General features: G+C 50.5%; 1 protein-coding gene, 2 long non-coding RNA genes and 1 pseudogene across 14 annotated transcripts, besides 18 other annotated features; 2 read left to right on the top strand and 2 right to left on the bottom strand.

Annotated features, from left to right (window-relative positions):
• CDKN1A (cyclin dependent kinase inhibitor 1A) lies at positions 32-10,901 on the bottom strand. 12 transcript variants are annotated; one of them, NM_001291549.3, is made up of 4 exons: positions 10,794-10,901; positions 9,431-9,668; positions 2,818-3,267; positions 32-1,613 (listed from the first exon to the last, which is right to left on the bottom strand). In NM_001291549.3, the coding sequence occupies exons 2-4, from the start codon at positions 9,525-9,527 to the stop codon at positions 1,564-1,566; spliced, it is 597 nt and encodes a 198-aa protein (NP_001278478.1). In that variant the 5' UTR covers positions 9,528-9,668; positions 10,794-10,901; the 3' UTR covers positions 32-1,563. The 12 variants fall into 12 exon arrangements, 10 of the variants coding, with proteins under 10 accessions (NP_001278478.1, NP_001361438.1, NP_510867.1 ...); NM_001374509.1 differs by having other exon boundaries at positions 9,431-9,576; NM_078467.3 differs by having other exon boundaries at positions 9,431-9,462; positions 10,840-10,901.
• Positions 4,259-4,378: an enhancer, noted in NCBI's record as "active region_24440". NCBI's record gives its function as "activates an Ori minimal core promoter by ATAC-STARR-seq in GM12878 lymphoblastoid cells {active_cell/tissue: GM12878}" and the evidence as "EXISTENCE:reporter gene assay evidence [ECO:0000049][PMID:35858748]".
• Positions 4,659-4,778: an enhancer, noted in NCBI's record as "active region_24439". NCBI's record gives its function as "activates an Ori minimal core promoter by ATAC-STARR-seq in GM12878 lymphoblastoid cells {active_cell/tissue: GM12878}" and the evidence as "EXISTENCE:reporter gene assay evidence [ECO:0000049][PMID:35858748]".
• Positions 6,648-7,037: a silencer, noted in NCBI's record as "silent region_17119". NCBI's record gives its function as "represses an Ori minimal core promoter by ATAC-STARR-seq in GM12878 lymphoblastoid cells {active_cell/tissue: GM12878}" and the evidence as "EXISTENCE:reporter gene assay evidence [ECO:0000049][PMID:35858748]".
• Positions 7,769-8,356: an enhancer, noted in NCBI's record as "H3K27ac-H3K4me1 hESC enhancer chr6:36646785-36647372 (GRCh37/hg19 assembly coordinates)". NCBI's record gives its function as "activates a minimal SCP1, AML or CMV promoter by ChIP-STARR-seq in naive H9 embryonic stem cells {active_cell/tissue: H9 hESC(naive)}" and the evidence as "EXISTENCE:reporter gene assay evidence [ECO:0000049][PMID:30033119]".
• Positions 8,368-8,557: an enhancer, noted in NCBI's record as "active region_24438". NCBI's record gives its function as "activates an Ori minimal core promoter by ATAC-STARR-seq in GM12878 lymphoblastoid cells {active_cell/tissue: GM12878}" and the evidence as "EXISTENCE:reporter gene assay evidence [ECO:0000049][PMID:35858748]".
• Positions 8,608-8,837: a silencer, noted in NCBI's record as "silent region_17118". NCBI's record gives its function as "represses an Ori minimal core promoter by ATAC-STARR-seq in GM12878 lymphoblastoid cells {active_cell/tissue: GM12878}" and the evidence as "EXISTENCE:reporter gene assay evidence [ECO:0000049][PMID:35858748]".
• On the top strand, positions 8,805-9,755 carry DINOL (damage induced long noncoding RNA). The gene has a single exon (NR_144384.1). It is a non-coding gene; the product is annotated as a damage induced long noncoding RNA (long non-coding RNA).
• Positions 9,750-10,949: an enhancer, noted in NCBI's record as "BRD4-independent group 4 enhancer chr6:36644192-36645391 (GRCh37/hg19 assembly coordinates)". NCBI's record gives its function as "activates an origin of replication core promoter dependent on BRD2, P300/CBP, MED14 and CDK7 cofactors, and independent of BRD4, by STARR-seq in HCT116 cells {active_cell/tissue: HCT116}" and the evidence as "EXISTENCE:reporter gene assay evidence [ECO:0000049][PMID:35650434]".
• Positions 9,750-10,998: a biological region, named in NCBI's record as "BRD4-independent group 4 enhancer GRCh37_chr6:36644192-36645391".
• Positions 10,929-10,998: an enhancer, noted in NCBI's record as "active region_24437". NCBI's record gives its function as "activates an Ori minimal core promoter by ATAC-STARR-seq in GM12878 lymphoblastoid cells {active_cell/tissue: GM12878}" and the evidence as "EXISTENCE:reporter gene assay evidence [ECO:0000049][PMID:35858748]".
• Positions 11,049-11,138: an enhancer, noted in NCBI's record as "active region_24436". NCBI's record gives its function as "activates an Ori minimal core promoter by ATAC-STARR-seq in GM12878 lymphoblastoid cells {active_cell/tissue: GM12878}" and the evidence as "EXISTENCE:reporter gene assay evidence [ECO:0000049][PMID:35858748]".
• LAP3P2 (leucine aminopeptidase 3 pseudogene 2) lies at positions 11,919-13,614 on the bottom strand (annotated as a pseudogene).
• PANDAR (promoter of CDKN1A antisense DNA damage activated RNA) lies at positions 12,238-13,743 on the top strand. The gene has a single exon (NR_109836.1). It is a non-coding gene; the product is annotated as a promoter of CDKN1A antisense DNA damage activated RNA (long non-coding RNA).
• Positions 19,625-20,406: an enhancer, noted in NCBI's record as "H3K27ac-H3K4me1 hESC enhancer chr6:36634735-36635516 (GRCh37/hg19 assembly coordinates)". NCBI's record gives its function as "activates a minimal SCP1, AML or CMV promoter by ChIP-STARR-seq in naive and primed H9 embryonic stem cells {active_cell/tissue: H9 hESC(naive and primed)}" and the evidence as "EXISTENCE:reporter gene assay evidence [ECO:0000049][PMID:30033119]".
• Positions 19,625-20,410: a biological region, named in NCBI's record as "H3K27ac-H3K4me1 hESC enhancer GRCh37_chr6:36634735-36635516".
• Positions 19,931-20,410: an enhancer, noted in NCBI's record as "active region_24435". NCBI's record gives its function as "activates an Ori minimal core promoter by ATAC-STARR-seq in GM12878 lymphoblastoid cells {active_cell/tissue: GM12878}" and the evidence as "EXISTENCE:reporter gene assay evidence [ECO:0000049][PMID:35858748]".
• Positions 19,938-20,232: an enhancer, noted in NCBI's record as "tiled region #2703; HepG2 Activating DNase matched - State 5:Enh, and K562 Activating DNase unmatched - State 4:PromP". NCBI's record gives its function as "activates a minimal TATA promoter and a strong SV40 promoter by Sharpr-MPRA in HepG2 cells, with weaker activation in K562 cells {active_cell/tissue: HepG2 | K562}" and the evidence as "EXISTENCE:reporter gene assay evidence [ECO:0000049][PMID:27701403]".
• Positions 20,407-21,188: an enhancer, noted in NCBI's record as "H3K27ac-H3K4me1 hESC enhancer chr6:36633953-36634734 (GRCh37/hg19 assembly coordinates)". NCBI's record gives its function as "activates a minimal SCP1, AML or CMV promoter by ChIP-STARR-seq in naive H9 embryonic stem cells {active_cell/tissue: H9 hESC(naive)}" and the evidence as "EXISTENCE:reporter gene assay evidence [ECO:0000049][PMID:30033119]".
• Positions 24,494-24,573: an enhancer, noted in NCBI's record as "active region_24434". NCBI's record gives its function as "activates an Ori minimal core promoter by ATAC-STARR-seq in GM12878 lymphoblastoid cells {active_cell/tissue: GM12878}" and the evidence as "EXISTENCE:reporter gene assay evidence [ECO:0000049][PMID:35858748]".
• Positions 24,567-25,066: an enhancer, noted in NCBI's record as "H3K4me1 hESC enhancer chr6:36630075-36630574 (GRCh37/hg19 assembly coordinates)". NCBI's record gives its function as "activates a minimal SCP1, AML or CMV promoter by ChIP-STARR-seq in naive H9 embryonic stem cells {active_cell/tissue: H9 hESC(naive)}" and the evidence as "EXISTENCE:reporter gene assay evidence [ECO:0000049][PMID:30033119]".
• Positions 26,167-26,286: an enhancer, noted in NCBI's record as "active region_24433". NCBI's record gives its function as "activates an Ori minimal core promoter by ATAC-STARR-seq in GM12878 lymphoblastoid cells {active_cell/tissue: GM12878}" and the evidence as "EXISTENCE:reporter gene assay evidence [ECO:0000049][PMID:35858748]".

The raw sequence follows: 26,798 nt of genomic DNA, 5'->3' as shown, positions 1-26,798 counted from the left end.
GGTATAATAACCACAATAGTAATATTACAAGTAAAGTCACTAAGAATCATTTATTGAGCACCTGCTGTATATTCAGCATTGTGGGAGGAGCTGTGAAAGACACAGAACAGTACAGGGTGTGGTCCCTGCCCTCGAGAGGTTTACAGTCTAGGTGGAGAAACGGGAACCAGGACACATGGGGAGCCGAGAGAAAACAGTCCAGGCCAGTATGTTACAGGAGCTGGAAGGTGTTTGGGGTCAGACCCCAATACTCCAAGTACACTAAGCACTTCAGTGCCTCCAGGGGCTCAACGTTAGTGCCAGGAAAGACAACTACTCCCAGCCCCATATGAGCCCACGTGGCATGCCCTGTCCATAGCCTCTACTGCCACCATCTTAAAATGTCTGACTCCTTGTTCCGCTGCTAATCAAAGTGCAATGAACTGGGGAGGGATGGGGTGGATGAGGAAGGTCGCTGGACGATTTGAGGGGCCAGTGTCTCCCTCCTAGAAAGATCTACTCCCCCATCATATACCCCTAACACAGAGATAACCCCACTCAAGGGGGCCTGTGCCACCACATGGGACCCTCACCCCCACAGCTAGAGGAGGGGGCGGTCGCTGCTTGAGCTGCCTGAGGTAGAACTAGGGTGCCCTTCTTCTTGTGTGTCCCTTCCCCTTCCAGTCCATTGAGCTGGGGGTGGGGGTGGGACAGGCACCTCAGAGCCACCTGGAGCTGAGAGGGTACTGAAGGGAAAGGACAAGGGGGAGGGACAGCAGCAGAGGGGAATTGCAGAGCCCAGCTGGAGAAAAAGGGTAGCTGGGGCTCCTCAAAAGGTACAGGGGAGCCAAAGAGGGAAAAGGCTCAACACTGAGACGGGCTCCCCAGTGCAGGTCAGAGGGGCCATGAGGGCAGGCGGGGTGGTCTGCTCCAGGACCCCACCTTCCCCCTGCCTTCACAAGACAGAGGGGGGTATCAAGAGCCAGGAGGGTACCAGGTCCCCAGCTCAGCCCTAGGCTGTGCTCACTTCAGGGTCACCCTGCCCAACCTTAGAGGAGGTGAGGGGACTCCAAAGTTTTTGATGATGCCCCCACTCGGTGAGGCCCCTTCAAAGTGCCATCTGTTTACTTCTCAAATGAAAAAGAATTCAGGTCTGAGTGTCCAGGAAAGGGGGTGAATTTCATAACCGCCTGTGACAGCGATGGGAAGGAGCCACACCCCTCCAGAGGGTACCACCCAGCGGACAAGTGGGGAGGAGGAAGTAGCTGGCATGAAGCCGGCCCACCCAACCTCCGGGAGAGAGGAAAAGGAGAACACGGGATGAGGAGGCTTTAAATAGTATTTCATAAAATAAAAATGCCCAGCACTCTTAGGAACCTCTCATTCAACCGCCTAGTTTTTGTTTAAATAATTCTAATGCCAGAGGCTGGGGGGCAGGGGGCGGCCAGGGTATGTACATGAGGAGGTGTTTAAATTAAAACACAAATAATAATTAAGACACACAAACTGAGACTAAGGCAGAAGATGTAGAGCGGGCCTTTGAGGCCCTCGCGCTTCCAGGACTGCAGGCTTCCTGTGGGCGGATTAGGGCTTCCTCTTGGAGAAGATCAGCCGGCGTTTGGAGTGGTAGAAATCTGAGGAGAGACAGCAGAAGTCAGCCAGGCCAAGAAGAAGAGGACGCGGCGGAGCTGCCCAACTGAGGAAGACAGTGGGGGGCCAGGACACCCTTCCCTGGGGCCAATGGGGCCGACTGCTGAGAACAGGAAGAACTCGGGGAACGTCCACTCTGTCTCTTGAGGGGTATTATGGAGTGTCCCACCATGCTTCACAGATGTGATTTTATCCATCACCGCACCCGCACCCATGGGTCTGCTCTAAGTCAAGCTGCCCAGCAGAGGAACCACTACTAGCTCTGTGTGCTTGTTTAAACAGACTACAATCAAATAAAATGAACAATTCAGTTCCTCAGTCACATGAGCTGTGTGTCAAATGCACAACAGCCGTATGTGGCTCGTGGCCCCTGTACCGGACACTCCCATCCCTGCAGAGTTACTGGACAGTGCTGATCTAGGGATTCTGTTACAAAATCCATGAAAGTGTTCAGCACAATGCCGGGCCCATATAAACGTCAGTAGTTGTTGTTATTATAATTAGTCTTGACCCAACGGCAAATTCACTTTGAGACCTTAGATAAATCACTCTACCTCTCTGAGCCTGGTTTCCTTGCCCTAAAAGGATGGCAAGGGGCTGGGCATGGTGGCTCACGCCTGTAATCACAACACTTTGGGAGGCTGAGGCAGGAGGACTGCTTGAGCTCAGGAGTTCAAGACCAGCCCGGGCAACATGGTGAGACCTTGTCTCTACAAAAACTCAAAAAATTAACCGGGCGTAGTGGTGTACAACTATAGTCCCAGCTTCCCAGCTACCCAGGAGGCTGAGGTAGGAAGATCGCTTGAGCCCAGGAGTTTGAAGCTGCAGTGAGCCATGATCGTATCACTGCACTCCAGTCTGGCCAACAGAGTTAAGACACCTGTCTCAAAAAGAAAGGCGGGCAGGGTGACAAGAATGTCTTATGTTATAACATTGCTATAAGGACTAAATAAATCTACCTTAGAAGCTTGGCAAAGGGCCTGGCATAATGAACATTCCCAATAAATGTTAGCTAGTTGGTCTTTGCTGCCTACTTGCTGTGTGACCTCAGGGAGGTTGCTTCCCCTCTCTGGGCCTGTTTCCTTCTACCTGGAGCATGCTGGACCAGGACCAGACAGGTCAGCCCTTGGACCATGGATTCTGAGAATCCTGGTCCCTTACAAAGTCCTTCCGTGCACATGTCCGCACCTGTCATGCTGGTCTGCCGCCGTTTTCGACCCTGAGAGTCTCCAGGTCCACCTGGGGACCCTTCAGCCTGCTCCCCTGAGCGAGGCACAAGGGTACAAGACAGTGACAGGTCCACATGGTCTTCCTCTGCTGTCCCCTGCAGCAGAGCAGGTGAGGTGCCAGGCCGCCTGCCTCCTCCCAACTCATCCCGGCCTCGCCGGGGCCCCGTGGGAAGGTAGAGCTTGGGCAGGCCAAGGCCCCGCACACGCTCCCAGGCGAAGTCACCCTCCAGTGGTGTCTCGGTGACAAAGTCGAAGTTCCATCGCTCACGGGCCTCCTGGATGCAGCCCGCCATTAGCGCATCACAGTCGCGGCTCAGCTGCTCGCTGTCCACTGGGCCGAAGAGGCGGCGGCAGGCCTTGCTGCCGCATGGGTTCTGACGGACATCCCCAGCCGGTTCTGACATGGCGCCTGCAGCAGAGATACAAGGAAGGCCCTGGTCACGGCGGAGATTAGACACTATGTTACCTGGCCGGGCTTTGCTGTGTCACCTCAGGTGACGTCTTCCTACCAGAGGGTCTCTCTCACTCCTTCCAGCTGGTCTTCCTGCTTCCTTCCCACAGGAGGCCTGACCCCCACCAGCAGAGCTCAGCCAGCCTGGCACACCAAGGTCACTGGGAGAGCAGGCAACTGAAGGGCAAGCTAATGTCAACAAAGGCAAGTCTATTGCAAGAGCAAGGACCAGGGTCCTGTTTGCCACCAGGTATTATCAGCTAAAATCAATTTGTTTTCCCCCCAGAGGTGTCCCTCATGGGTGTGAATGCCCCCCAAATATGTGTGAATTGCCAGAGTCCAGCAGTTTCCTAATCGCAGCCCTGGCCAGAAGGTCAATTCCCAAAAGAAGAAACAGTCTGACAGTTCCTCCAGCCTCCTAAGTCCCCCGACCCAGATCCCCAAGTAGGGTAACCCTGCTCTGCCAAGTAAAAGTACCCGGGACTTTGGGGCAAAAAGCACCCGGGTTGTGGTCCTAGCTCTGCCAGTTACTACGTAAGCTTTAAAAAGCCACTTAATGTCTCTAGGTCTCAGTTTCCTCATCCATAAATGGGGCCATGTACAAGTTTAAAGAGCATGGCTACAGACACATACTCAAGAAATTGATCACAGAGTCCATGCAGCAAGGCAGACAGAACAGAGCTGAATGAAAGGCTGTATCCTGGTGGTTAAGCAGGAGGGCTCTGGAGCCAGATCACCTGGGCTGGAGTCCAGGTTTTACTAGGTGACCCTGGGCAAGCAACTTAACTTGTCTGAGCTCTAGTTTCCTCATCTATAAAATGGGGATAGTAATAGTGACTGTCTCAGAGGATAGACATGAGAATTAACTGAGTTAATGTAGGTAACGTGCCAGCAGCACTTCGTATAGAGAAGTGCATTGAAAACAGAAGTATGATTATTCCTCTCTGCCTTCAGTTTTACTGAGCCTCCCCCCTATCACTTCCCCCTGCCAACTACCTCCTTCAGACAGCAGCTGACAGGTGCTGTAGGCTGAGGGCCTTTCCCAAGGATGTCGTCAGGCGGGTGGCCTAGGGGTAAGGAGGGGCCGGGCGGGGCAGCGCAAGGGATGATTTCTCCCAGGCTGAGCCACATCCTGCCAGGCACATCAGGTGATCTGAAGTCTAGACACCTGGCAGCCCCTGCCTCGTGTTGCCTGTGTCCAAGGAAACCGTTTTGCAGGCAAAAAGAAAATTAAAGGTGGCTGGTCTACCTGGCTCCTCTCCTCCCCCTTCAGGAGAGGGAAAACGGAGAGTGAGTTTGCCCATGAGGGAGCCCTGGCACCTACCTGCCTGCTCTGGCTTGACTCCAGGGCTGAGTGACTGCACGACCTTGGCAGCAACTGGATTTTCCTAGGGACAAGTCCCAACTTGCAGTTTCTGGGGGTGAAAGCTCTGCTGAGTCCTCATGAGGCAGGAAGCCCGGGACACATGCCACATCTGCTCCACCCCACCTCACCCCACTGCTTGTGATCAGTGGAGCCCACAGTTTCACGTCCCAGCTGGTTGGGAGAGGAGGCTCTTGGTAACTTCACACCAAGTTTAAAGGGCAGGAGATGGAAGAGATATGAGACTTGCCCCTGAGTCATACAGCTAAAAAGGCCAAAGGCCACTGCCCCATAAAGGGGTCACCCAGTACAGTGGACAGAGCCCTCAAATAACCTCTATCCACCCTCTGCTAGGCATGAGTTGGGATTTATTTATATATTTTTATGTTTGGGGGCTGTTCTAAGCAGTTTAAAAATATCAATCCTCCTAAAAAGTGGATATCTATTAGCTCCCTTTTTACAGAAGAGGCAACCAAGGCTCAGATAAGTTAAGTAACTTGCCTAACATCACACAGTTCATAAGTGGCACAGCCAGGATCTGAACCCAGGCCTGTTTGCCCTGAGTCCTGTGCTGTAGTATTGAACCCCACTCCCTCTCTAATTTTGAGGTTTCTTAACCAGAGAGGCCCATCACAATCACTTGGGGAGGCCAGGGGCAGTGGCTTATGCCTGTAATCCTAATACTCTGGGAGGCAGAGGTGGGAGAATCATTTGAGCCCAAGGGTCCAAGACTAGCCTGGGCAACTAGCTGAGACCCTGTCTCTACTAAAAATAAAAATAAATAAAAATTAGCTGGGTGGTTGGGTGCAGTGTCTCACACCTGTAATCCCAGCACTTTGGGAGGCCGAGGAGGGCGGAGCACGAGGTCAGGAGATTGAGACCATCCTGGCTAACACGGTGAAACCCCGTCTCTACTAAAAATACAAAAAAAAATTAGCCGGGCATGATGGCAGCACCTGTAGTCCCAGCTACTCGGGAGGCTGAGGCAGGAGAATGGCGTGAACCCGGGAGGCGGAGCTTGCAGTGAGCCGAGATCACGCCACTGCACTCCAGCCTGGGTGACAGAGCGAGACCGCATCTCAAAAAAAAAAAAAAAAAAAAAAAAATCTGGGCATGGGGGCGGGGGGATCACGCCTGTGGTCCCGGTTACTTGGGAGGCTGAAACAGGAGGACTACTTGAGTCCAGGATGGTGCCATTGCACTCCAGCCTGGGTGACAGAGTGCAACTCTGTCGAAAGAAAAGAAAGAAAGAGAGAAAGAGAAAGAAAGAGAGAAAGAGAAAGGAAGAAAGAAAGAAAGAAAGAAAGAAAGAAAGAAAGAAAGAAAGAAAAGAAAGAAAAAGAAAGAAAGAAAGAAAAAGAAAGAAAGAAAGAAAGAAAGAAAGAAAGAAAGAAAGAAAGAAAGAAAGAAAAAAAGAAAGAAAGAAAAGCACCTAGGGAGTTTTTTCAAAATATAGATTGCTGAGGCCCTGCCTCCCGAGACCAACTTAATCCAGATTGAAGATTCAAGCAAGTGTTTGGCACAATTCCTCAGATGGGCACTCTTGGGTTGCCAGCCAAGCGGAGACACACTGGTATGTTTGAAATGGACATTCTGGGTCTCAATACATCATAGGCACAAGGAGGAGGCGCCCGCCTAGGGCTTCATCAAGGTGCTGGATATTCCCTGGCTCTCGGGAGTTCAAGACAGGACTAGGATCTAGGCAGGCACCCTCTCCTCTTCTACCACCCCTCCTTCTCTTATGGCTCTCATAGGCCTCTCCTCCCCCATCAAAATCTGCTCTCATGCTCATAATAACTTTCAGCCCAAAGAAAACTCAGAAACGCAAACCCTTGTTTTAGAAACAATTAAAAATAGCCTCCTTTATTGGCCTTCCTGCCTTAGACTTCAGCCATATTTTAATTTCCAGTAAGAGCTCAGTGAATACTGTTGAACCTAAGGAGTGCTCCTTTGAAGGGGTGGTAATGGCATAGGGGTTGATCTCGGATGAGCCCAGGAGTAGCCGCGGCGGTTCGCGCCGGCCAGCCCCACTCCGCGGGAAAGCCTGTGTGCTATTCCCGCCAGGGCCGGGAGGGGGCGCCGGCCTCCAGGAAATCACGCGCGGAGTGGGAGGTGCGTGGGCAGAGCCTCGGACCGCTGGAGGGAGTAGTGATGAGTCAGTTTCCTGCAAGGCGCTGCTCGCCCGCCAAAACTGCTTCCACTCCGGCTGCGCGTCACCCTGGGGTGGGGAGGGGGAGAATGGGAGGGGACCGGGGGGCCGCGAACACGTCACGCTGAGCCGGCCAGGCTTCCGAAACTCCCGCCGCTGTTGGGAAACCGCGCGCTCTTGTGCCGTCTCTGACACAGACACACACACACACACACACACACACACACACACACACGCCCGCGCAGACACGCACGCGCGCGCGCGCCGGGAGCCGGCCCCTCCACCTTATCTCCACGCCCAAAGCACGGGATGAGTCAGATCCCTGGAAAATAAAAATAGACGGGAGCAACGAAAACAAAACCGCTCGCAAGTCCTCCCAGAAACGCGACGTGGAGGGAGGCAAGGAGAGGGGAAGCTGCCTGGGCGCCCCAAGTTCCTAACCCAGCTCCAAGATGCTTTTCCTCACGAAGAGGGCGCAAGTGTCCCCCAGGGGTTTGGGACGGAGAGGACGCGCTGTGGTCCGCGCCAGGCGGCGGCGCCCCAGGGGGCGACTCGCCCCCCTGCTCCGCTCAGCCCTGTAGCTTTCGGAGAGGGAATCTGGGCTAGGTCGGGAAGCCCTGAGCCCCCGAGGCAGCTGATAGAGGCCCTGAGCAGCGTCGTGCCCCCCAGACCCCCCACCCCTCAAAGACATGAACCCTCCCCGCCTCCCATCCAGGCGTGGGCTCCGCTCCCGCCCCGGAGTCCAGCGCCCCGACCCGAGGACAGGCTGGGCCGCGATTCTCCCGGCCGCGGTGGGAAAGAGGTAGAGGAGACCCTTGCCCTTCCCCGACTGACAGGCTGGTTAGAGCCCGCCCAGAGCAGGGCCGTGACTCCCCGACCCCTACAGCGCGCCGCGGAGCGGGGACCCGACGCGGTGTCCCGGACCTCCAGTGCCCGGCTTCCTTGGGAACAAACTGTTCCAGCCAAATAGGTCACTGTGCCGATGGGAGGACGGAGACCGCGAAGGGGCAGGGGAGAGGGCTTCTGGAGTCCCGCTGTACCCCATCCCGGGCGGGGTTCTGACCTCATACAGTCCGTTCCCTGGGGTCTCCTTGTCACAGTGAGTCACCTCCTCGCTAGTCCTTAGGGGACGGGTCCTGGCACATTCCCAAGGGCCAGGAAACAGCCCGCGCTGACCTCAGCGCTCAGCCAGGTGGTGGACACAGTGGCGTAAAGGACCTGAACCTGGGACCTGGGCCAGGGCGGCGCAGATTGGATCCCAGAGCCACCCGGGACCGATCCTAGACGAACTTACTCCACTCCGCTTTCCTCGCCCTTCCTGGGCCCCTCCAGGGACACGGACTTCATCCCCACGCCGCGAGCAAACTGCGCCTGGGGCCTGGAGCCAACCGCAGCCAAAGGCGAGCTCCCAGAACGGTCCCGTCCACGCCCTCCCTCGCCCCAGCTGGGTTTCCAGGGGCGGGGAGCGTGACCAGGGATTCCTGTACTTGTAATCCCGCTCTCCGCCCCGGGGTCTCCGGCACATCCCGACTCTCGTCACCCGCGCACTTAGAGACACCGTGTGCGCAAGCCGAGCGCGCACCGACCCACGCCCGTCATTCACCTGCCGCAGAAACACCTGTGAACGCAGCACACACCCGCGAACACGCATCCTCGCGGACACGCAGGGACACACGCGGGCACGCTTGGCTCGGCTCTGGGCCGCCGGCCCGGGGTCCCCTGTTGTCTGCCGCCGCTCTCTCACCTCCTCTGAGTGCCTCGGTGCCTCGGCGAATCCGCGCCCAGCTCCGGCTCCACAAGGAACTGACTTCGGCAGCTGCTCACACCTCAGCTGGCGCAGCTCAGCGCGGCCCTGATATACAACCGCCCCGCCCGGGCCCGCCTCAAGGAGGCGGGACCCGCGCTCGGCCCACCGCGCCGCCCGGGACCGCCCTCCCCGGGGCCCAGGCTCCTGGCTGCCCAGCGCCGAGCCAGCTGAGCCTGGCCGAGTTCCAGCAGGCCAGCCGGTCCCGGAACCTCGCGTGCTGCAGGAGGGCACTTCCCTCCTCCCCCAGTCCCTCGCCTGCGTTGGTGCGCTGGACACATTTCCCCACGAAGTGAGCCACAAATCTGGCTTTTTTTACTTGGAGAATGAGTTGGCACTCTCCAGGAGGACACAGCACTGTTAGAATGAGCCCCCTTTCTGGCTCACCGCTGACCCACTCTGGCAGGCAAGGATTTACCCAATGCAGCTGAAAAGATCAGGAGGATGACATTAATACATAAAAATTCATAAATTATAAAAACGATGCACCTCTCTGCAATTTCCAGAAAAGCCCCACAATATCACCTCTATTCCCACTGATCCCTCACTAGGTCACCTCTCCCAGAAGCACCTGGAGCACCTAGACACCCCAACAAAGCATCTTGAGGCCAGAATGATTTTTCAGTCCCGTTTATTTCACAGATGAGGAAATTGAGGTCCACTGAACTTAAGTATACAAAGTTGTTGATTGTCACATGCTTCCGGGAAGGAGGGAATTGGAGAGACTACCAAAAAAGGGCAACCTGATCTCCAGGGAAACAGAAGAATTGGACATTGAACCAATCTCCCTACACCCTACACTCACCTGAACAGAAGAAATCCCTGTGGTTGCAGCAGCTTTGTTGGCCAGGAAGGGGAGGATTTGACGAGTGAGTTGTCTGTCTCCTGAATACTCCCCACATAGCCCGTATACACTGCTGGGGAAACTGGGGCTCAGAGAAGTCTGGTGACCTAACTCAGATCATGCAGCAAAGAAATGACTATAGTTGGAACACAGGACTTTTGCCTCCTGCCCGGGGCTCTCTGCTTGTCATCCTTTATTTCTGTGGCTCCAAAATGACAAAAATGCCAAATAACCCTCATTTGCAGATGGTTTATGGAGATGACATAAATAAAGGACAATTCTGGAAGTGTCTACTGGTTCTTCTGACAGACACAGAAATGAGTGATGTGTCTATCCGCTCCCATCTACCTCACACCCCTGACCTCCCCTGGACTTCACCTTTGCCTCCTTTCTGTGCCTGAAACATTTGCAGTTTTGCTTTTAAAAAATTGCAGAGGATGGATTGTTCATCTGAACAGAAATCCCACTAAAAAACAGAACCCAGGCTTGGAGCAGCTACAATTACTGACATCTCAGGCTGCTCAGAGTCTGGAAATCTCTGCCCAGACATGCCCAGTCTTCTTCCTCTAACGCAGCTGACCTCGGGGAGGACAGGCTTCTTTCTCCTCTGCTGTGGGGATGGGAGCCCAGGTAGGGGTGGGAGGACACAGTAGCAGACCCCCTTGGCCTGCCTCGCCCTGGAGTCAGGCCAGGATTGTGGCTAAACCCCAGAAAGGCCACGGCACAGCCTCAGGACCCCACTCTAAGCCCCACTGCTGTCTGCACCTTCGCTCCTATACATCCAAACCATCCAAAGGGCTGGTTGTCAAATGTCCAGCAGAGGACAGGCACCTTCTCCCACTGCCTTGAAGCCCCTCTGCTTTCAGGCATTTCAAATAGACTAGACATTGTCTGTCTGTTTACTTTGGGGAGAAAATTTTTTTTAATAAAGGCTTGTAATGAATTATTTAAATTTTTGTGGTACTGAGCTTCACAATGAAATAATTCTTTTTGTTGTTGTTTTTGGGAAAGAATTTTTTTTATAACTTCTAGCTCACCACCACCACGACATTCAATATTTCTTAAGTACCTACTAAGTGTCTAGTACTATTCAGTGCTTTAAAAAAAAAAGTTTGCAACCATGCACTTGAATGTGTACCCAGACACACTCTAAGGGAGGACTTCTGCCCTGAAAAAGGCAAGGGAGCAGGCTGTTAAAAGTCACACACAGAATCTGACTCCCAGCACACACTCACACAAGCACACATGCATCAGATCCCAGCCCTGTCGCAAGGATCTGCTGGCAGATCACATACCCTGTTCAGAGTAACAGGCTAAGGTTTACCTGGGGTCTTTAGAGGTCTCCTGTCTCCTACCATCCCCTTCCTCACCTGAAAACAGGCAGCCCAAGGACAAAATAGCCACCAGCCTCTTCTATGCCAGAGCTCAACATGTTGGGACATGTTCCTGACGGCCAGAAAGCCAATCAGAGCCACAGCCTGCTGCCCAAGCATGTTCCTGGGAAGCAGGCAGCATAGGGATGGAGGGAGGCTCAGCCTGGGGGACAAGAGTGCCCAGTCCAGCCCCCTCCCCAGAGTGCGGTGGAGCAGCATGGGGTAGGGGAATGGTGAAAGGTGGAAAGCCCAAGCCTGAAGAAGGAGGATGTGAGGAAGGCTCAGTGGTGGCTGCAGAAGCTGCCTAGGAAGGGAGAGGAAGTGCTGGGAACAATGTCACCATTTCTCAGAAAGAGACTGGGGAGTCCCAAATAGGGGCAGTCAGCTTTCAGAGGAATTCACCTTCACACAGGCTCCCAAGAAGTGAGACCCCAGAGAAGAGGCGGAACAAAGATAGAACATTATTGAGCAGAGGCAGCCCTGGCTTTTTGTTTTCATTTTGTTTTTTTGTTTTGTTTTGTTTTTTGAGACAAAGTCAGCAGTGGCACAATCTCAGCTCACTGCAGTCTCCGCCTCCCAGGTTCAAGCAATTCTGCCTCAGCCTCCCGAGTAGCTGGGATTACAGGCATGCACCACCATGCCCAGCTAATATTTGTATTTTTTTTTTTGCACAAAAAGTTGGATTTATTGTTTCTGACAAGTGGTTAGTAATTTTCAGTTTGCTCATGTTCCTAGCATCACAAATCTGAAGTACAATTTTGCTTCTCAATTAAAAATATATACTGGCCGGGCGTGGTGGCTTACGCCTGTAATCCCAGCACTTTGGGAGGCCGAGGCGGGCAGATCACAGGGTCAGGAGTTTTGAGACCAGCCTGGCCAATATGGTGAAACCCCGTCTCCATTAAAAATACAAAAATCAGCCGGGCATGGTGGTGGGCACCTGTAGTCCCAGGTATTCAGGTGGCTGAGGTGGGAGAATCGCTTGAACCTAGGAGGCGGAGGTTGCAGTGAGCTGAGATCATGCCACCTGCACTCCAGCCTGGGTGACAGAGTGAGACTCCGTCTCAAAAAAAAAATATATAAATCTTTGTGTAAAATGAAAAAAAAATCAAGGCATAAAAATTTCATTGTGTTCTACATTTTTAAATATAAATTGCCTCCTTTAAAATATTTTCATCCATTCATTCAAAAACCTTTTAACTTCAACTGTCCAATTTAAGATAGAGTGAAGACATTTTTGAGTATCTGAACTAAGCATTGTCTTGACTGAAACGAAGTAAGAACTCTATGAGAGTCCTTGTGGGCCTCCCGGTCATGCCTTTCCATAGATAGGGAACCTCATCTTTGTTGGTCATCACACCTGCTATGTCTAAATGTGCCCACTTAGGATGAGTCACGAATTCTTTCAGGAATGCCGCAGATGTACATGCTCCCGCAGATCTATATTTTCCAATGTTGTTAACATCAGCCAGCTGGCAATCTACAACCTGTCTTGTACAATGTTTGAAGAGAGGCATCCTCCAGACACGGTCCCCTGTTTCAATGCTGGCCTCGAAGAGCTTGTTCCAGAGCCAGGATGAATTGGTAAAGACCCCAGTGGCACCTGACCCCAAAGCTACATCTATGACACCTGTTAAGGTGGTGGCATTGAGGATGACCTTCGGGTTAAATGTGTGCACGTAACAGAGCGCATCAGCCAGTATGAGCCTCCCCTCAGCATCAGTGTTACCAACCTGGATGGTCTTCCTGTTCCTGGCTCTAACAACATCCCCCAGCTTGTTGGCCTTGCCGCTGGGCATGTTTTCACAGAGGGGCCAGACCTATAATATTAATGGGCAAACTGAGATTTGCAGCAGACACAATGGCTGAGCATATAGTTGTAGCTCCTCCCATGTCGGCCCTCATGAGGTCCATATTTGCAGAAGCCTTGATGGAGATACCACCACTGTCAAAGGTAATTCCTTTCCCAACAAACAAGGGGTGGTTTGTCTGCATTGGGGCTGCCTATGTAGTGAATTTCCAAGAAGACTGAGGGCTCGTCAGATCCTTTGGCCACACTGAGGAATGATCCCATTGCCTGTTCCTCAATCCAAGACCTGGGTCTGATATGAAACTCGGTTTACTACTAGCGCTTTTGAGATTCTTCTCAATAATTTCGGCAAATCTGGTTGGCATCATCTCGCTGGCTGGCGTCTCCATCATGCCAAGTTCTGCCCAGAAGCAAACAGGACTCCTTTCTGCCAGGCCTCCTGATCCCCAGTTCCATAGAGCTTCACCGACATAGCCATCTTCTTTTTTTGCTTTAGGTCATCGTATTCATAGAGACCAAGCACCGCGCCCTCCTCAGCAGCCTGAGCATCTCTACAGGGATCCACCTCCACGGAAGAGAGCTCCAGGTCTTGAATCTGCCTGCATCCTGCTGCAACAGCAGCTCTGATGTTTTCTTTGCCTTCCTGCCAGTTTTCCTGTTCGTCGATTCTGGCTGCCTTTTTGCCGAGGCCAACTAGCACCACGCTGGGGAAGTCCTGATGCAGACCATAAAAGTTTCGAGTCTTGCCTGCCTTCAGAGGTGGTCCAGATATGTTCAAAGTCTCTCTCAGCTTTCCAGCTATCAATTTATCAAGATTCTCTCCTGCACTTGTGAACTGTGGCACATCATCTTCTTTTTCTTTGGAATAGATTCCTAAAACAAGGCCCTTCGTCATGTCTGCAGCGGAGAGACCCCGGCTCCCGAAACATCTCACGGCCAGACGTCAGACGATGACTCGCCCCACCCAATGTTTGTATTTTAGTAGAGAGAGGGTTTCTCTATGTTGGTCAGGCTGGTCTCAAACCTCGACCTCAGTTGATCTGTCTGCCTCGGTCTCCCAAAGTGCTGAGATTACAGGCGTGAGCCACTGCGCCCAGCCTATTTTTATTTTTTATATATTTTTTGAGATGGAATCTTGCTCTGTTGCCCAAGCTGGAGTGCAGTGGCGTGATCTCAGCTCACTGCAACCTCCACTTTCTAGGTTCAAGCGATTTTCCTGCCTCAGCCTCCCGAGTAGCTGGGATTACAGGCATGTACAACCATGACTGGCTAATTTTTGAATTTTTAGCAGAGACGGGGGTTTCGTCATGTTTCATCATGTTAGCCAAGCTGGTCTTGAACTCCTGACCTTAAATTATCTGGCTGCCTCAGCCTCCCAAAGTGCTGAGATTACAGGTGTGAGCCACCATGCCAGGCCTATTTATTTATTTATTTATTTATTTATTTATTTTCGAGATGGAGTTTCACTCTGTCGCCCAGGCCGGAATGCAATGGTGCGATATCAGTTCACTGCAACCTCCACCTCCCAGGTTCAAGCAATTCTCCTGCCCCAGCCTCCCAAGTAGCTGGGATTACAGGCTCCTGCCACTATGCCTGGCTAATTTTTTAATAGTTTTTAGTACAGACGGGTTTCACCATGTTGGCCAGGCTGGTCTCAAAGTCCAGAACTCAGGTGATCCGCCTGCCTCAGCCTCCCAAGTGCTGGGATTACAGGCACGAACCACCACGCCTGGCCAGGCCTATTTATTTTTATTTTTAATAATTTTTTTAAGGCTAGTTAAATGAAGCAGTGGGAGTGGAGAAGGAGCAAAGAAATCTACAACTAAAAATACAAAATTAGCTGGACATGGTGGTGCATGCCTGTAATCCCAGCTACTTGGGAGGCTGAGGCAGGAGAATCACTTGAACTCGGGAGGCGGAGGTTGCAGTAAGCTGAGATTGCGCCATTGCACTCCAGCCTGGGCAACAAGAGCAAAACTCTGTCTCAAAATAAATAAATAAATAATTAAAAGAAAAGACATGTATTCTTACTGTGAGGCTCTGTTCTTCATTAAATATGATCTTAAAAGCAAAGTGCTTAGCTTGGCACATAGAAATCACTCCATGAATATTAGTTATGATGATAATTGCTGTACAAACATCCCCAGGAAAGGCATCCCTTGGAATTTAGTAATTATCTATATTTTAGTGGGTATCTTAGGTAGGTTTCCCAGAAATCACATTCTGACATAGAGTTTTGCTTGAAGGGAGTTTATTGGGGAGTGCATTCACAATCAACACTTGTCTGGATATAAAAGAAACGGAATTGGGCAGAGAGAAGAACCGGGAACTGATGGAGGCTGGAGGCCCACAGAGGACTTGGCTGATCCCACCAGGAGCCCTGGAGCTGGGATGGTCCTGCAGAGTTCGCTGAATTGAAGCATGAGAGCTAGGCCCTTACACCCTGGGTTTCCAAACAGTCATCTAAACGTGGCTGCCCCTGCAGTAGGGGAGTGCATGCCCTCGGGCAAGAGAGCTTCCTCCTCTAAGGCCAAGGAACGACTTGGCTGTAACCATCGGCAACCAACACTCATGGCAGCCATTGTGGAGGACAAGTGCCTGGCTCTTGCAGAAGCTTCTGGGTGGTACAGTACAGAGGGAGTAAGTTGATCAGATCATTTAGGGACTAGAAGGCAGTGAGGAAATGCTGTGAACACAGGCCACCTGAGGGGTGAAGGCCTCTTTGTGCCTTTGCACAAATCTTCCTCTCTTGGTAAAATGAGTGTCCCTGACCAACTTGCCCCACCTCCACTCCATTCTTCACCTTTGAATTCCTATTGATTCTTCATAACCCAACACATGTGACTTGGGGTGAGGCCTACTCGGGGCTCCCTCTACTCCCAGAGCTCCCACTGAGCAAGACTCTCCACTGTACTTTGCCCTCCTGCTTGGTTTATGTGTCTACTGAATCCTCTGAGCTGGGCACTTAGAGGGGCTGAGCCCATATTTTATTCATCTTTGTACCTTGGAGAGGCCTACCAGCTTCAGCTGGGAACTCAGTGAATGTTTATTGAAGGGTCATTTTTGGCCTGTACTGTGAGGTTAGGCTTCAGTGCTGCTGCCTCGAGCCCTCTCTTTTATTTATTCATTTGTCCATTCATTCATTCATTTGTTTTAAAAAATAATTAACACTCACTGCTCAAACCAAAAACTAGAATATTACAAATCACTGACACTTTCTTGTGTGTTCCACCCCTACCCCAAAGTGAACACTACCTTGCATCTTATGTAAAACTTTTTTTGTTTTAAATAGTTCTATCACATGTGGCCAAGACAGTAATGCTCAGCCATTTTTCCAGGTGTTCTCCAACATTTTCCAGCCCCACTTACAGTGTAGATGGGATCATGCGACTAGTCCTAGCTGATGAAATGTGAGCATAAGTGACATTTGTCTCTTTAGAGCTGAGGCCAGGTGAAATTCTCGAGCCTTTCTGTCCTTCACAGTTGTGGCAAAGGTGAGGTCTCATGTCCCAGGTGGTGCAATGGTGCCACTCCAACATGGTGGAGCCTCCATCAGCCTGGATCCCTGAGTGAATGCGTGGAGCAGAGTGCCCCACCAACTTCTATGGGATAGGTATATAAGAAAAAAGTAACCATTTGTGTGTGAAGTCACTGAAATGTAGAGGTTATTTGATACTGAAGCATAACCTAACCTAATATTTATCCATGTAGTTGTGGGTAGTTGTGGTTTGTGGAAGTCAATGTCTCCCAGTGAGGTATACCTCTGGGTATTCACACTGTTTTGTAGTTGCCTCCCCTTGAACATTTCTGGCTTGTGACTCTTTTAGCCAATAGAATGGGACAGAAGTAACCCTGTGCCCATTCCAGACCTAAGCCTTAAAAAGGTATAGTAACTTCTACTGCTTTTGTATTCTTAGAGACCTTAAGCCACCATGTAAGAAGTTTGATTACTCTGAGACCATCATGCTGTGAGAAGTCTTGTGGAGAGGTCACACGCAGGATAACCAAGGCCCACTAGCTAAGAGTTCCAGCAGACCTCCCAGCAAACAGTCAGCATCAACTTGCCAGCCATAGGAGGACCATTTTGAGAGTTGATCCCCCAGCTCCAGTTGAACCTCCCCAGGTGGAGCCACATGAAGTAGAGACAAGCCATCCCCAGTAAACCCCGACTGAATTATAGAATGTGAGCAAACAAATGATCGTGGTTGCCACTGTGTTTTAACATGATTTTTTAGGCAGCAATGCGTAACTTAAACATGATTCAATCGTTTTCCGGTTTCTATGTTATTTACTTATTTATTTTGAGACAGGGCCTCAATCTGCCGCCCAGGCTGGAGTACAGTGGTGTGATCATGGCTCACTGCAGCCTTGACCTCCCAGCCTCAAGCAATCCTCCTACCTCAGCTCCCAAGTAGCTGGAACCACATGTGCACACCACGAAGCCTGGCTAATTTTTTTTTTTTAAATAGAGGTGGTGTCTCCCTATGTTACCCAGGCGGTCTCAAACACCTGAGCTCAAACTTCAGCCTCAACCTCCCAAAGTCTTGGGATTACAGGCATGAGCCACCATGCCCGGCCCATTTTCAGTTTTTTAAATATCCAATTATTCCTTCTCCTATCAATGGGTTTGGGTTATCGCCAATTTTTGTTATTACACATAGGGCTACTATAAGTATTTTTATCCGTGTTTCTAGGGCACATGTGCAAGAGTTTCTGGCTATATACCTAGGAGTCGAGTTGCCCGATAATCACTCTGTCAGGAGAAGCATGATTGAAGAAGTAGCCACACCAGGTATCTGGGCCTCACTGTCTGTCTGTGTCTTTTAGGATTATTGGAACAAGTCTAAAGCCCTGAACACATATTGGGGATTATCATTGCTTGCATTTTTGTATAGAAACAAAAAGTAATCCAAAGGAATGAAGCCCTAATGGAAGAATTTCAACGATTGTGACACCTGAGAATAGACATTTGGCAGCAAAGGGAGCTGCCCACAGATTCTGAATTCAGTCCTGTGAGCTGCCTTCAAAGCTCCCAAGACACCCCCTCCAGGTCCCTTAGCTCACAACAGCCTTCTGGATGATCCCAAAATAATAGGAATTGGGCACTTTGATTTTTTTTTCTTCCCTAACATATTTTTTAAACCCCTCCCAAGAAAAAGCCTCAGCATAGGCTGAGGGGCTTGGGTTCGGGGCCTCTGATTGCACAGCAGTGTGGAATCTCAGGGACATCAGGTTTCAGATCCATTCTCTCACTCCTCACCATCCACATGCTCCTCCCTCCCCCAACCAGGGCAGGGGTATTAGACGCTTATACAGACAGAGAAATGGAGACCCTAGGAAGTGCTGGCTTCGGCTAAGGGGACACAGACCAGGGTCAGGGCAGATCCGGGGCTCTGGCTGTGGCCGCAGCCCTTCTGCTCCCCCTCCCATCAGCTGCTTGTCCTTGCCTTTGCTTCCCTAGGGTGGCTCTAAGTGTCATCTGTAATTGTAATGCCATCGGGGCCACTGTGGAATGCGACAGCTGCAACCCCCAAGCCCCAAATGCTAGTGGCCACACTAGAGCCAAGTTCAGAGCCAGGGAGGAGATGTCACTCCCTCTTCCCTATCCTCAGTGGTTTCTAACAACCCTGTATCTGCTGGGAGGAATCATTGCTGATGTCTCCTCCTACGCCCATCCTAGCAGCTTAGGACTGGACTTATGAAGAAAAGTCAGGGTGAGTGATAGGACGACACTAGCTCCTGTAATAAATAAACTCTCACATTTCAGTGACAAGCCAAATACAAGTTTATTTCTCACTCACATATGAATCCAATAGAGGTGTTCTGGTGGGCCGGTGGCTGCCCTCCGTGTGGTGATTCAGGTTCTTAGGTTCTTTCCACCATGTGGCTCCACCATTCCCTGGGGCCTCATGATCTCTGACTGCAGCTGGAGGTAGGGGAAAGTGCCAAAGAAGCCACGTGCATTTCTTCACACCAGGCTCAGAAGGGACTGGCATCATCTCCCACCCACGTTCCATTGGTGAGAACTTGGATGCACCCCCGGATGCACAGGTCAATGTAGTCCCCAGAGGGCCGCACAGATTTGTGATGACCCACTAGCCATCTCCATCAAAGCTGGGAGCATGGCAGACAGGACTCCTTCCTCTCCCCCATCTTCCGGTAAGAGGGTCTTTTCCTACTGAGTCTCTGGACGCAGCCACAAGAATAAGAAGAATGCCACCTGTGCAGAACATGAACTTGGACCTCAATATCTTCATGTCTAAAATGGGTGCTTTCATAGCTATAATCTTACCATTCTCCGGAGAGACTGAGAAAAATGAGGTAGGCATGATCCTCTTCAGTTCCCAAAGGAGGAAACCAGGCCACAAAGAGACAGTGAGACTAGCCTAAAGTTACACAGCAGGACCCAATTTCCTCCTTCTGGTACACAGCTTTTCCTTTTTCTTTTTAAACTAGTCAACATCAAAGTCTGGGGCCACACACTGCCTCACTCCTGTAATCCCAGCACTTTGAGAGGCCGAGGCACAGGGATCACTTGAGCCCAGGAGTTAGAGACCAGCCTGGGCAACATGGTGAAAACCTGTCTCTACAAAAAAATACAAAAATTAGCCAGGTGTGGTGGTACACGCCTGTGGTCCCAGCTACTGGGGAGGCTAAGGTAGGAGCCCAGGAGGTCGAGACTGCAGTGAGCCAAGATTGTGCCACTGCACTCCAGTCTGGGCAGCAGAGTGAGACCCTGTCTCAAAAAAAAAAAAAAAAAAAAAAAAGGAGAGACACAGGAAACAGTGGCAATGGCTGCCTCTGGAGAGAGGAGCAGGTCCATTGTGTTACCCCCTCCAGGGCACCATTAGGAAGCCTGGGTGGACAGCACCCACCAGTGGAGTTGTGCTGTGCACAGCCTGTCTGTCTTGGGGTGTAAAGTAGGCTTATTCTTCTTAATATATATTTTTAAATCGTTAATACCATCTTAGATAATAATTAACACAATTAAAATACATATTCCAAGTGCCAGCCCTATCTCAACCCACTGAATTAAAATTGGATAAGGGTCTGCCGGCTGCACAAGTGTACAGATATTTTGAAAAAATCTCCCCAGGTAATTGAAAGCTCCCCACCCTCCATCCTCAAGGCTTGGGAAGCCTGATTTAGTCTCTCCTTGCACAGGCCCCTCTATCTCACTTCTAGAAGTCTCAACGGACCCTTTAACCCCTGGGAGACTGAGTGAACTAGGAATAGATTCTGCCACTGAACAGGGAGGAGGGAAGGAAGGAGTGAGCCAGGGTTTGGGGTAGAAAAGCTCATGGCTGAGTGAGCAGGAGGCCAGTTTTGCCTCCTGGGCAGTTGGGGCCTCCCACTTCCCTGCAGCCCTGAAACACCCTCCCCACACCCGTGCATCGCCTCGCATCAGCAACTCTGGCCGGCAGAGCTCCCGCTGGCCTTGCCCGGGCTTGTCTTTTGTTGCATTGTTGCATCATCATGCGGCCTTGCAGGGTGCCAGAAGAGTGAGCCACCCACTCACCACTGGAAGAAAACAGCTAATTATATCACCAAGAGACCCAGGGCATATGGTCACTCTCAGCTGGCCCAGCCTGTTTCTACTTGCTTTGCATGATTGTTCTGGATTTTTCAAAATAATAATAACTACCAACCAGGAAAAAAAAAAATCACCCCTGACTGTGGAGCGTGCTGCTGAAGTAGGAGCTTTAGTCTACCTGCTGCTCTAGGAGAGACCTACACAGCCCCCTGAGCTCAGAAAACAAAAAGCCAGACTCCCAGACTAGGGTTCAATAGACAAGTGGCTCTGAGAACAGGATACACTGGAATCAGCAGAATCCAAAAGACAAGCATTGCTTTGACAGCATCACAGTAATTTATTTTTTCCAAAATCTTTAAAATTCTATTTGTAGTTTAGTCAAAAGTGCAGAGCGTTTTGTTTGTCCATAGTTTCCTGTATTTATTTTTTCAGTAGATAATACATTCACATGGTCCACAGTCAAAAGATGCAAAAGGCTATTCAGTGAAAACTCTCCCTCCTACCCCTACCCTCCAGCTACCCATTTTCTTCCCAGAGGCTGTGGCTGGTGGCTTGTGTCCCCTTCCCACAGATAGTCTAAGAACATCCAGGTCCTTCAGCTGAAACCCTTGGGCACAGATGGGTTGCAGAATCTAGAACTTTTCCCATTTTAGACAGGTAATAAAGTGCATACAGCCTGTATTCCACAACACCAGCGGGCTCCGCCCAGGGTGAGCAGTCAGCCAGTTTGCCCCAGACTGTTCCAGTTCCATGTCCAGGGAACCCCTTCAATCCCAGGCAAACCAAGACAGTAGGTCCTGCTAGCTGTGGGCTGTAATGTATTCACACTAACAGGGACAATTAAAAACTGCAAATGGCTTCACATCCTTTTAGCTCTGGTTTTGCTACCAAATAAATTTGCCACAAACCAAAGAAAAAAGTTTTGGTTTCCAGAGCCTTTTGGATTTGGGAATTGTGGATGAGGGGCTGGGGACCTATACACAATATACATATATATTTTTAATCTGCTTGAATGGAAACACAGTGTTGGGCACATTGTTTTTGCACTCAATTTATCTTAGTGGCTTTCCACATCAGTACATAGAAATCCTGCCCTTTCCTTTTTACTGCTGCATTGGACTTCAACACACGGGTGAACATTTAGGATGTCTCTAGTTTTCTGTTATTACAAACACACATAGTTTTACAAGCAGCTAACAACATGGGGAGGGGGCAGAGGAGGAATGGAATCATTCTTTTTTTTTTTTTATTGGAGATGGAGTCTCACTCTGTTGCTCAGGCTGGAGTGTAGTGGTGCGAACTTGGCTCACTGCAGCCTCCACCTCCCAGGCTCAAGCAATTCTCCTGCCTCAGCCTCCCGAGTAGCTGGGATTACAGGTGTCTGCTATCACACCCAGCTAAAGTTTTTATATTTTTAGTAGAAATGGAGTTTCACCATGTTGGACAGGCTGGTCTCGAACTCCTGACCTCAGGTGATCCACCCGCCTCAGCCTCCCAAAGTGCTGGGATTACAGGCATGAGCCACTGTACCCAGCCAGGGATCTTCATTCCTAATGTTTGTTTATGACTGAAAGTTTATGTCCAAGCCTGCTCAGAAGTTGCGGGGCAGAAACAAGACCTACTGAGGTCTCCCAGACCAGCTGCCCCGCCCATCCACCTACATCACGAAGAGTCACTCCCATTCAGAATGATTTTTCCAAACAAGAAGACAACTTACATTCAGACCTACTGTATTAGTCGGGGTTCTCCAGAGAAACAGAACCAATACAAGAATATATTCAGATAGATATAGACATAGATAGATGATAGATAGATAGATAGATAGATAGATAGATAGATAGATAGATAGATAATGTTCCTCAATTTTATGATAAAGTAAAAAAATTATAAGCTGAACCATCATAAGTCAGAGACTATCTATATATCTATATACAGGCTCATGTGGGCAAAAAATACCACCCAGGGTGGGTCTCTGGTGACCAGATCCAGTTAATGAAAGGGGCTAGATTTCAGCTGATGGGGCCGTGGAAATCTGAATTGGGAGCCCCCTTCCTAAAACCAAGAGAAGATCCATCCATGTGTGGTGGGGCTGAAGTTTATGCAATGATAGAGGCCTTCTTCACGATAAAGAAGGCAATTATAATACTAGGCACCCCTATGCAAATGAGAGTCCTAGAAGCCTCCTTTCATCGGTTTCACCATCAACCCACCTGTGTGTGTGGCTGAATAAAGATCAGGGAAGTAGCGGTCTCTGGGGGGCAGATGTGACACCTGGGGGGCCACAGTTCTAAAACTTGAAGGACCAGAATAACCCGAGCTGAAGGAGGACACAGGAGAGGCAAGATAGAGAGAGAATGGGGCCATCCTGCAGTGCCCACCACAACCGTCTATGCATCCTGGACCCCAGGCTGGCACTATACAGGGTGCTGTGTGATTCCTCACCCTCATTCTCTGCCTCCACCAAGAGTAATAGGCTGGGCGTGGTGGCTCACGCCTGTAATCCCACCACTTTGGGAGGCCGAGGCAGGCGGATCACTTGAGGTCAGGAGTCCAAGACCAGCCTGGCCAACAAGGCGAAACCCTGTCTCTACTAAAAATACAAAAACTAGCTGGGCGTAGTGGTGGGCACCTGTAATCCCAGCTACTCGGGAGGCTGAGACAGGACAATCGCTTGGACTCCGGAGGCAGAGGTTGCAGTGAGCTGGGATCGTGCCACTACACTCCAGTCTGGGCGACAGAGCAAGACTCTGCATCAAAAAAAAAAAAAAAAGAAAGAGTAATAATAAAAATGAAAGTAGTTCATACTTACAGAGGCCCGGTTCTAAGTACTTGATCCATAGTTACTTGGTTAATTTTCACCATTACTCATTTCAGGAATGAGGCACCATTACTTTTATCCCCATTTTACAGATTAGGAAACTGAGGTAGAGATAGAGATGAAACCACTTCTCAAGCCAGACAGAAACAGAGCAAGGATTTGAACCCAGACAGGCTGGCTCCAGAGGCAAAGCTCTTAACCACTAATGACAATAACCACTGACACTCAGGTTGTGATTATCTTATACCAGTTGCTCTTCTGAGTGTTCACATGTATCAGCTCAACTAATCCTTACAGGTACTGTTATTACCCCCATTTTACAGATGAGGCAACTAAAACACAGAAAGGTCAAGCCATTTGCCCAGGCCACACAGGTACAGAAGAAGGATTTGAAACCAGGCAGTCTAGTTCCAGAGTCCATGTCCTTCTGCACTGAACTGTACCTCTGTGCCATGACTAGAGCTAAGAGCAACAATGACTATGGCTTCCAGCCTCCACATCACATGTGGTGTCAACACTGGAGAATTTAATAAGCACTCAATAAATAATCAATGAATCCTCCTCTGAAACAATCCTTTTCATGATATTAAAAAAATCATATTCCAAGTTCATTGAAGAAAATCTGAAAACTATAGAAAGGCTCCACGAAGAAATGCAAGTCACCCTTGATACAGCGGGGATAAGCACCACTAATGTTTTGATGTCTTTCCAGCTATTGTTACAAAATAGGGATCCTACTCTATGTTCTGTTTTTTCTTCACTCATCAACAGATCACAAACATTTTCCCATGCCATGACATTTTTTTCCTTCAGCTTCCACAGAGGAGTGCTCTGTGATTGCCTACAAACCAGAATGTCCCCCACAAATAGCCCCCTCCTCAGGCACAGACCCCTACTCCCCAGAATATGCTCATCCTATACGCTCAGCCCTTTTTTACTTCCTGTCATCTCTGGAAAGCTCGTGTAATCCTTCTGCCTTCCTTCTTAGACTCAGGGTCTCCTCCACTCCTGCCAAGGACATGTCCCATCCTTCTCAACACCCTCTACCTCTTCTATCATGTTTCCCCCTCGCTAAGTCACTGACCCTTCTCACACCCTCCCTCACCCAGGCTCAGAACTATTCTATCCTGTGCCCCATTCCCACAGGTCTTGCTAGAGACAATCTAATTCCATCAGCAAGCTGGCATTAGGCAATGTCTGTTGCAATGCACGGAGTGACAGGCAAGACAATGCCAGTGAAGGTGCTGGAGGCTGCAGCGTGGGAGTCCTTCCCAGGGACACAGGTGCACTTTGAACATGTCTTTGAGGTACGAAGCCTTAATCTAAAAGGGGACTCTCCTGGTATCATTTCAGGCTACCAGGCAGGGCTTGCAAGTGCTATTTTGGTGCAGGGAGCTCTTTTGATGTACCTTAAACCCCAACAGGGAGGCGGAGACCTAATCCACCCCTAGGGTGGGGCAGCCTTGGCGCCTTGCCCCATTAGGAGGGAATGAAAGGCTTTTGAAGGTGGTAGCTCAAGACGGGTGGCTTCTTGATTCCAACCACGGTGTCTCAGCCAGGATGGGGAATAAAGGGGGTTGTGCAGACAGCTGACAAGAGAGGAGGAATCTGGGTAGGGGAAGCAGGGGGATGCGACTCCCCCCAGACCTGATCTGTCTGACCTGGACTTCTCCGGCATCGCTGTCATAACAGCACCTATGCTCACATGTTTTTGTAAGGATCAGATGAGATAAGTTCAGTAAAAGTGCTTTGCCAAGGGTAAAACCCCTAAGTCAGGTGTGGTTAGGCCTCTCTGCTTCTTTCCTTTTTTTGGAAGGTGTTGACAGCTCCTCATTGTTCTTAAGGCGTTTCCTCCCTGAAACACATTTCACCTTCTAGACAGGAGGTGGGGGTCTTGGTGCTCAGTGAGGCACACCTGGGTTCCCTTAGCTCTGGGCCACTGCAGCTTCCGTCTCTATTCCCCCACAGCAGCTCAGGTTTTGTGTTTTTTGAGACAGAGTCCTGTTCTGTGGCCCAGGCTGGAGTGCAATGGTGCGATCTCGGCTCACTGCAACCTCCCCCTCCCAGGTTCAAGCGATTCTCCTGCCTCAGCCCCCCGAGTAGATGGGATTCCAGGCCTGCACCACCATGCCCAGCTAATTTTTGTATTTTTGGTAGAGATGAGGTTTTAGTATGTTGGCCAGGCTGGTCTCAAAGTCCTGACCTCGGGTGATCCACCCGCCTCAGCCTCCCAAAATGCTGGGATTACAGGCATGAGCCACTGCGCCTGGCAGCAGCTCAGGTTTTATAACTGGTGTTTACTGAGGTCCCAGGCATAATTCATCTAAACAATGCATAGGGTGACTAACTGTTCGGGATAGCGCAGAATTGAGGGGCTTCCAAGGACACAGGACTTTCAATGCTAAAACCGAGCCAGTCCTGGGCACACAGGGACGGTTGGTCATTCTAGGTGTACGTAGGGGTGTGTAGGTCAGATGTGGGTGTGATTTCGTTTGGCGTGGTACATATAAGTAGTGTGTGCTGAGGTGTGGTTACACATGTGATTATTCATGTTTGGCATAGAGGGCTTAGTGTGGATCTGGTGGCACATTTGGATTTGTGTGCTGGGTTTACGTTGCTATGTATGTGTCCATGTTGCTTGTAAGATGCATGCATGCGTTAGGGCTTGTATATATAGTGTGTTGGATTTAGCGTATATGGGTAACCTTCGTACGCATGCCATTTGTGTGCAATGAATGTGTTTTTTCAGTAGTGGTGTAAATGTATGTTTTGTATTTGGTGTAGTGTGGAATGTACATGTCGTTCGTGTGAGGAGGGAAGAATGCCAGTGGTGTAAATGTATGTTTTGTATTTGGTGTAGTGTGGAATGTACATGTCGTTCGTGTGAGGAGGGAAGAATGCCTGTGGTGTATATGTGTCTGGTGTGAAACTCGCTATGTGGGTGCTAGTGACTCGTGTAGTCTCTTGCCTAAATGCAGGTGTTTGTAGTGTGTGCATGTATAAGCACTAATGTGTGTATTGTGTGTGCTGTGTTTGGTGTGTCAAGGGACATATTCAGGTCATTGGTGAGCAGAGTTGAGTGTTGTGTATATATTGTGAGTTGTGTTTGGTGTGGAGGCTGAGATGTGTGTGTCATTTGCGTGCAGATGCGTTTGTGCGACGCTTTGCGCATGCTGTGTGTGCCGCCAGCAAGATGTCGGGGTGTGCAGTGGTGCGTGGCCTTTGTTGGGCTCAGAGAGACTTGTGTCATTTGCGTGTTGTGTGTGGAGGTGAGTGCTAGTGTATCTGTGCCGGGCGTGAGGTGTCCGAGTCTGCACGCTACGCACGTGTGTGGGTTGCGCAGCGAGACGCTGAGGGCGGAGGCGCGGCTGGGGCCCAGACGGTGTGACCTCAGGCGGTGTGACCTGGAGGGAGTCCAGCGCCGGAGCTAGCGCGCCGCGGGAGGCGGGGCATTCTGGGAAGCGGCCACGCCCACCGAGGGGGAGGCAGGGGCTCGGGGACCCCGCCGCGGCGACGCTAAGGTCGCTGCCTGCCTCCTGAGCTCCGGCCGCTGTTTACCTCTTACTACTTAATAGTGACTCCTAACCAAGCAGGGAACTATTGGGAATAAAAATGAAGACATGAGGCCGGGCGCGGTGGCTCACGCCTGTAATCCCAGAACTATAGGAGGCCGAGGCGGGTAAGTCATGAGGTCAGGAGTTCAAGACCAGCCTGGCCAACATGGTGAAACCTCGTCTCTACTAAAAATACAAAAAAGTAGCTGGGTGTAGTGGCGGGCGCCTGTAATCCCAGCT

Source organism: Homo sapiens, chromosome 6 (assembly GCF_000001405.40).
Source record: "Homo sapiens chromosome 6, GRCh38.p14 Primary Assembly".
NCBI lineage: Eukaryota > Metazoa > Chordata > Mammalia > Primates > Hominidae > Homo > Homo sapiens.
The sequence above is the reverse complement of the archived record's forward strand: the minus strand, read 5'-3'. Positions and strand labels throughout refer to the sequence as shown.

What these genes read in the sequence shown, in the direction of transcription:
- CDKN1A (NM_001291549.3), bottom strand. Translation starts at nt 9,527, where the DNA reads ATGTGGGGAGTATTCAGGAGACAGACAACTCACTCGTCAAATCCTCCC. An exon ending in CAGGGATTTCTTCTGTTCAG is followed by an intron (nt 3,268 to 9,430) that starts GTGAGTGTAGGG and finishes TCTCTGCTGCAG; the next exon opens with GCGCCATGTCAGAACCGGCT. An exon ending in GCGGCAGACCAGCATGACAG is followed by an intron (nt 1,614 to 2,817) that starts GTGCGGACATGT and finishes GTCTCTCCTCAG; the next exon opens with ATTTCTACCACTCCAAACGC.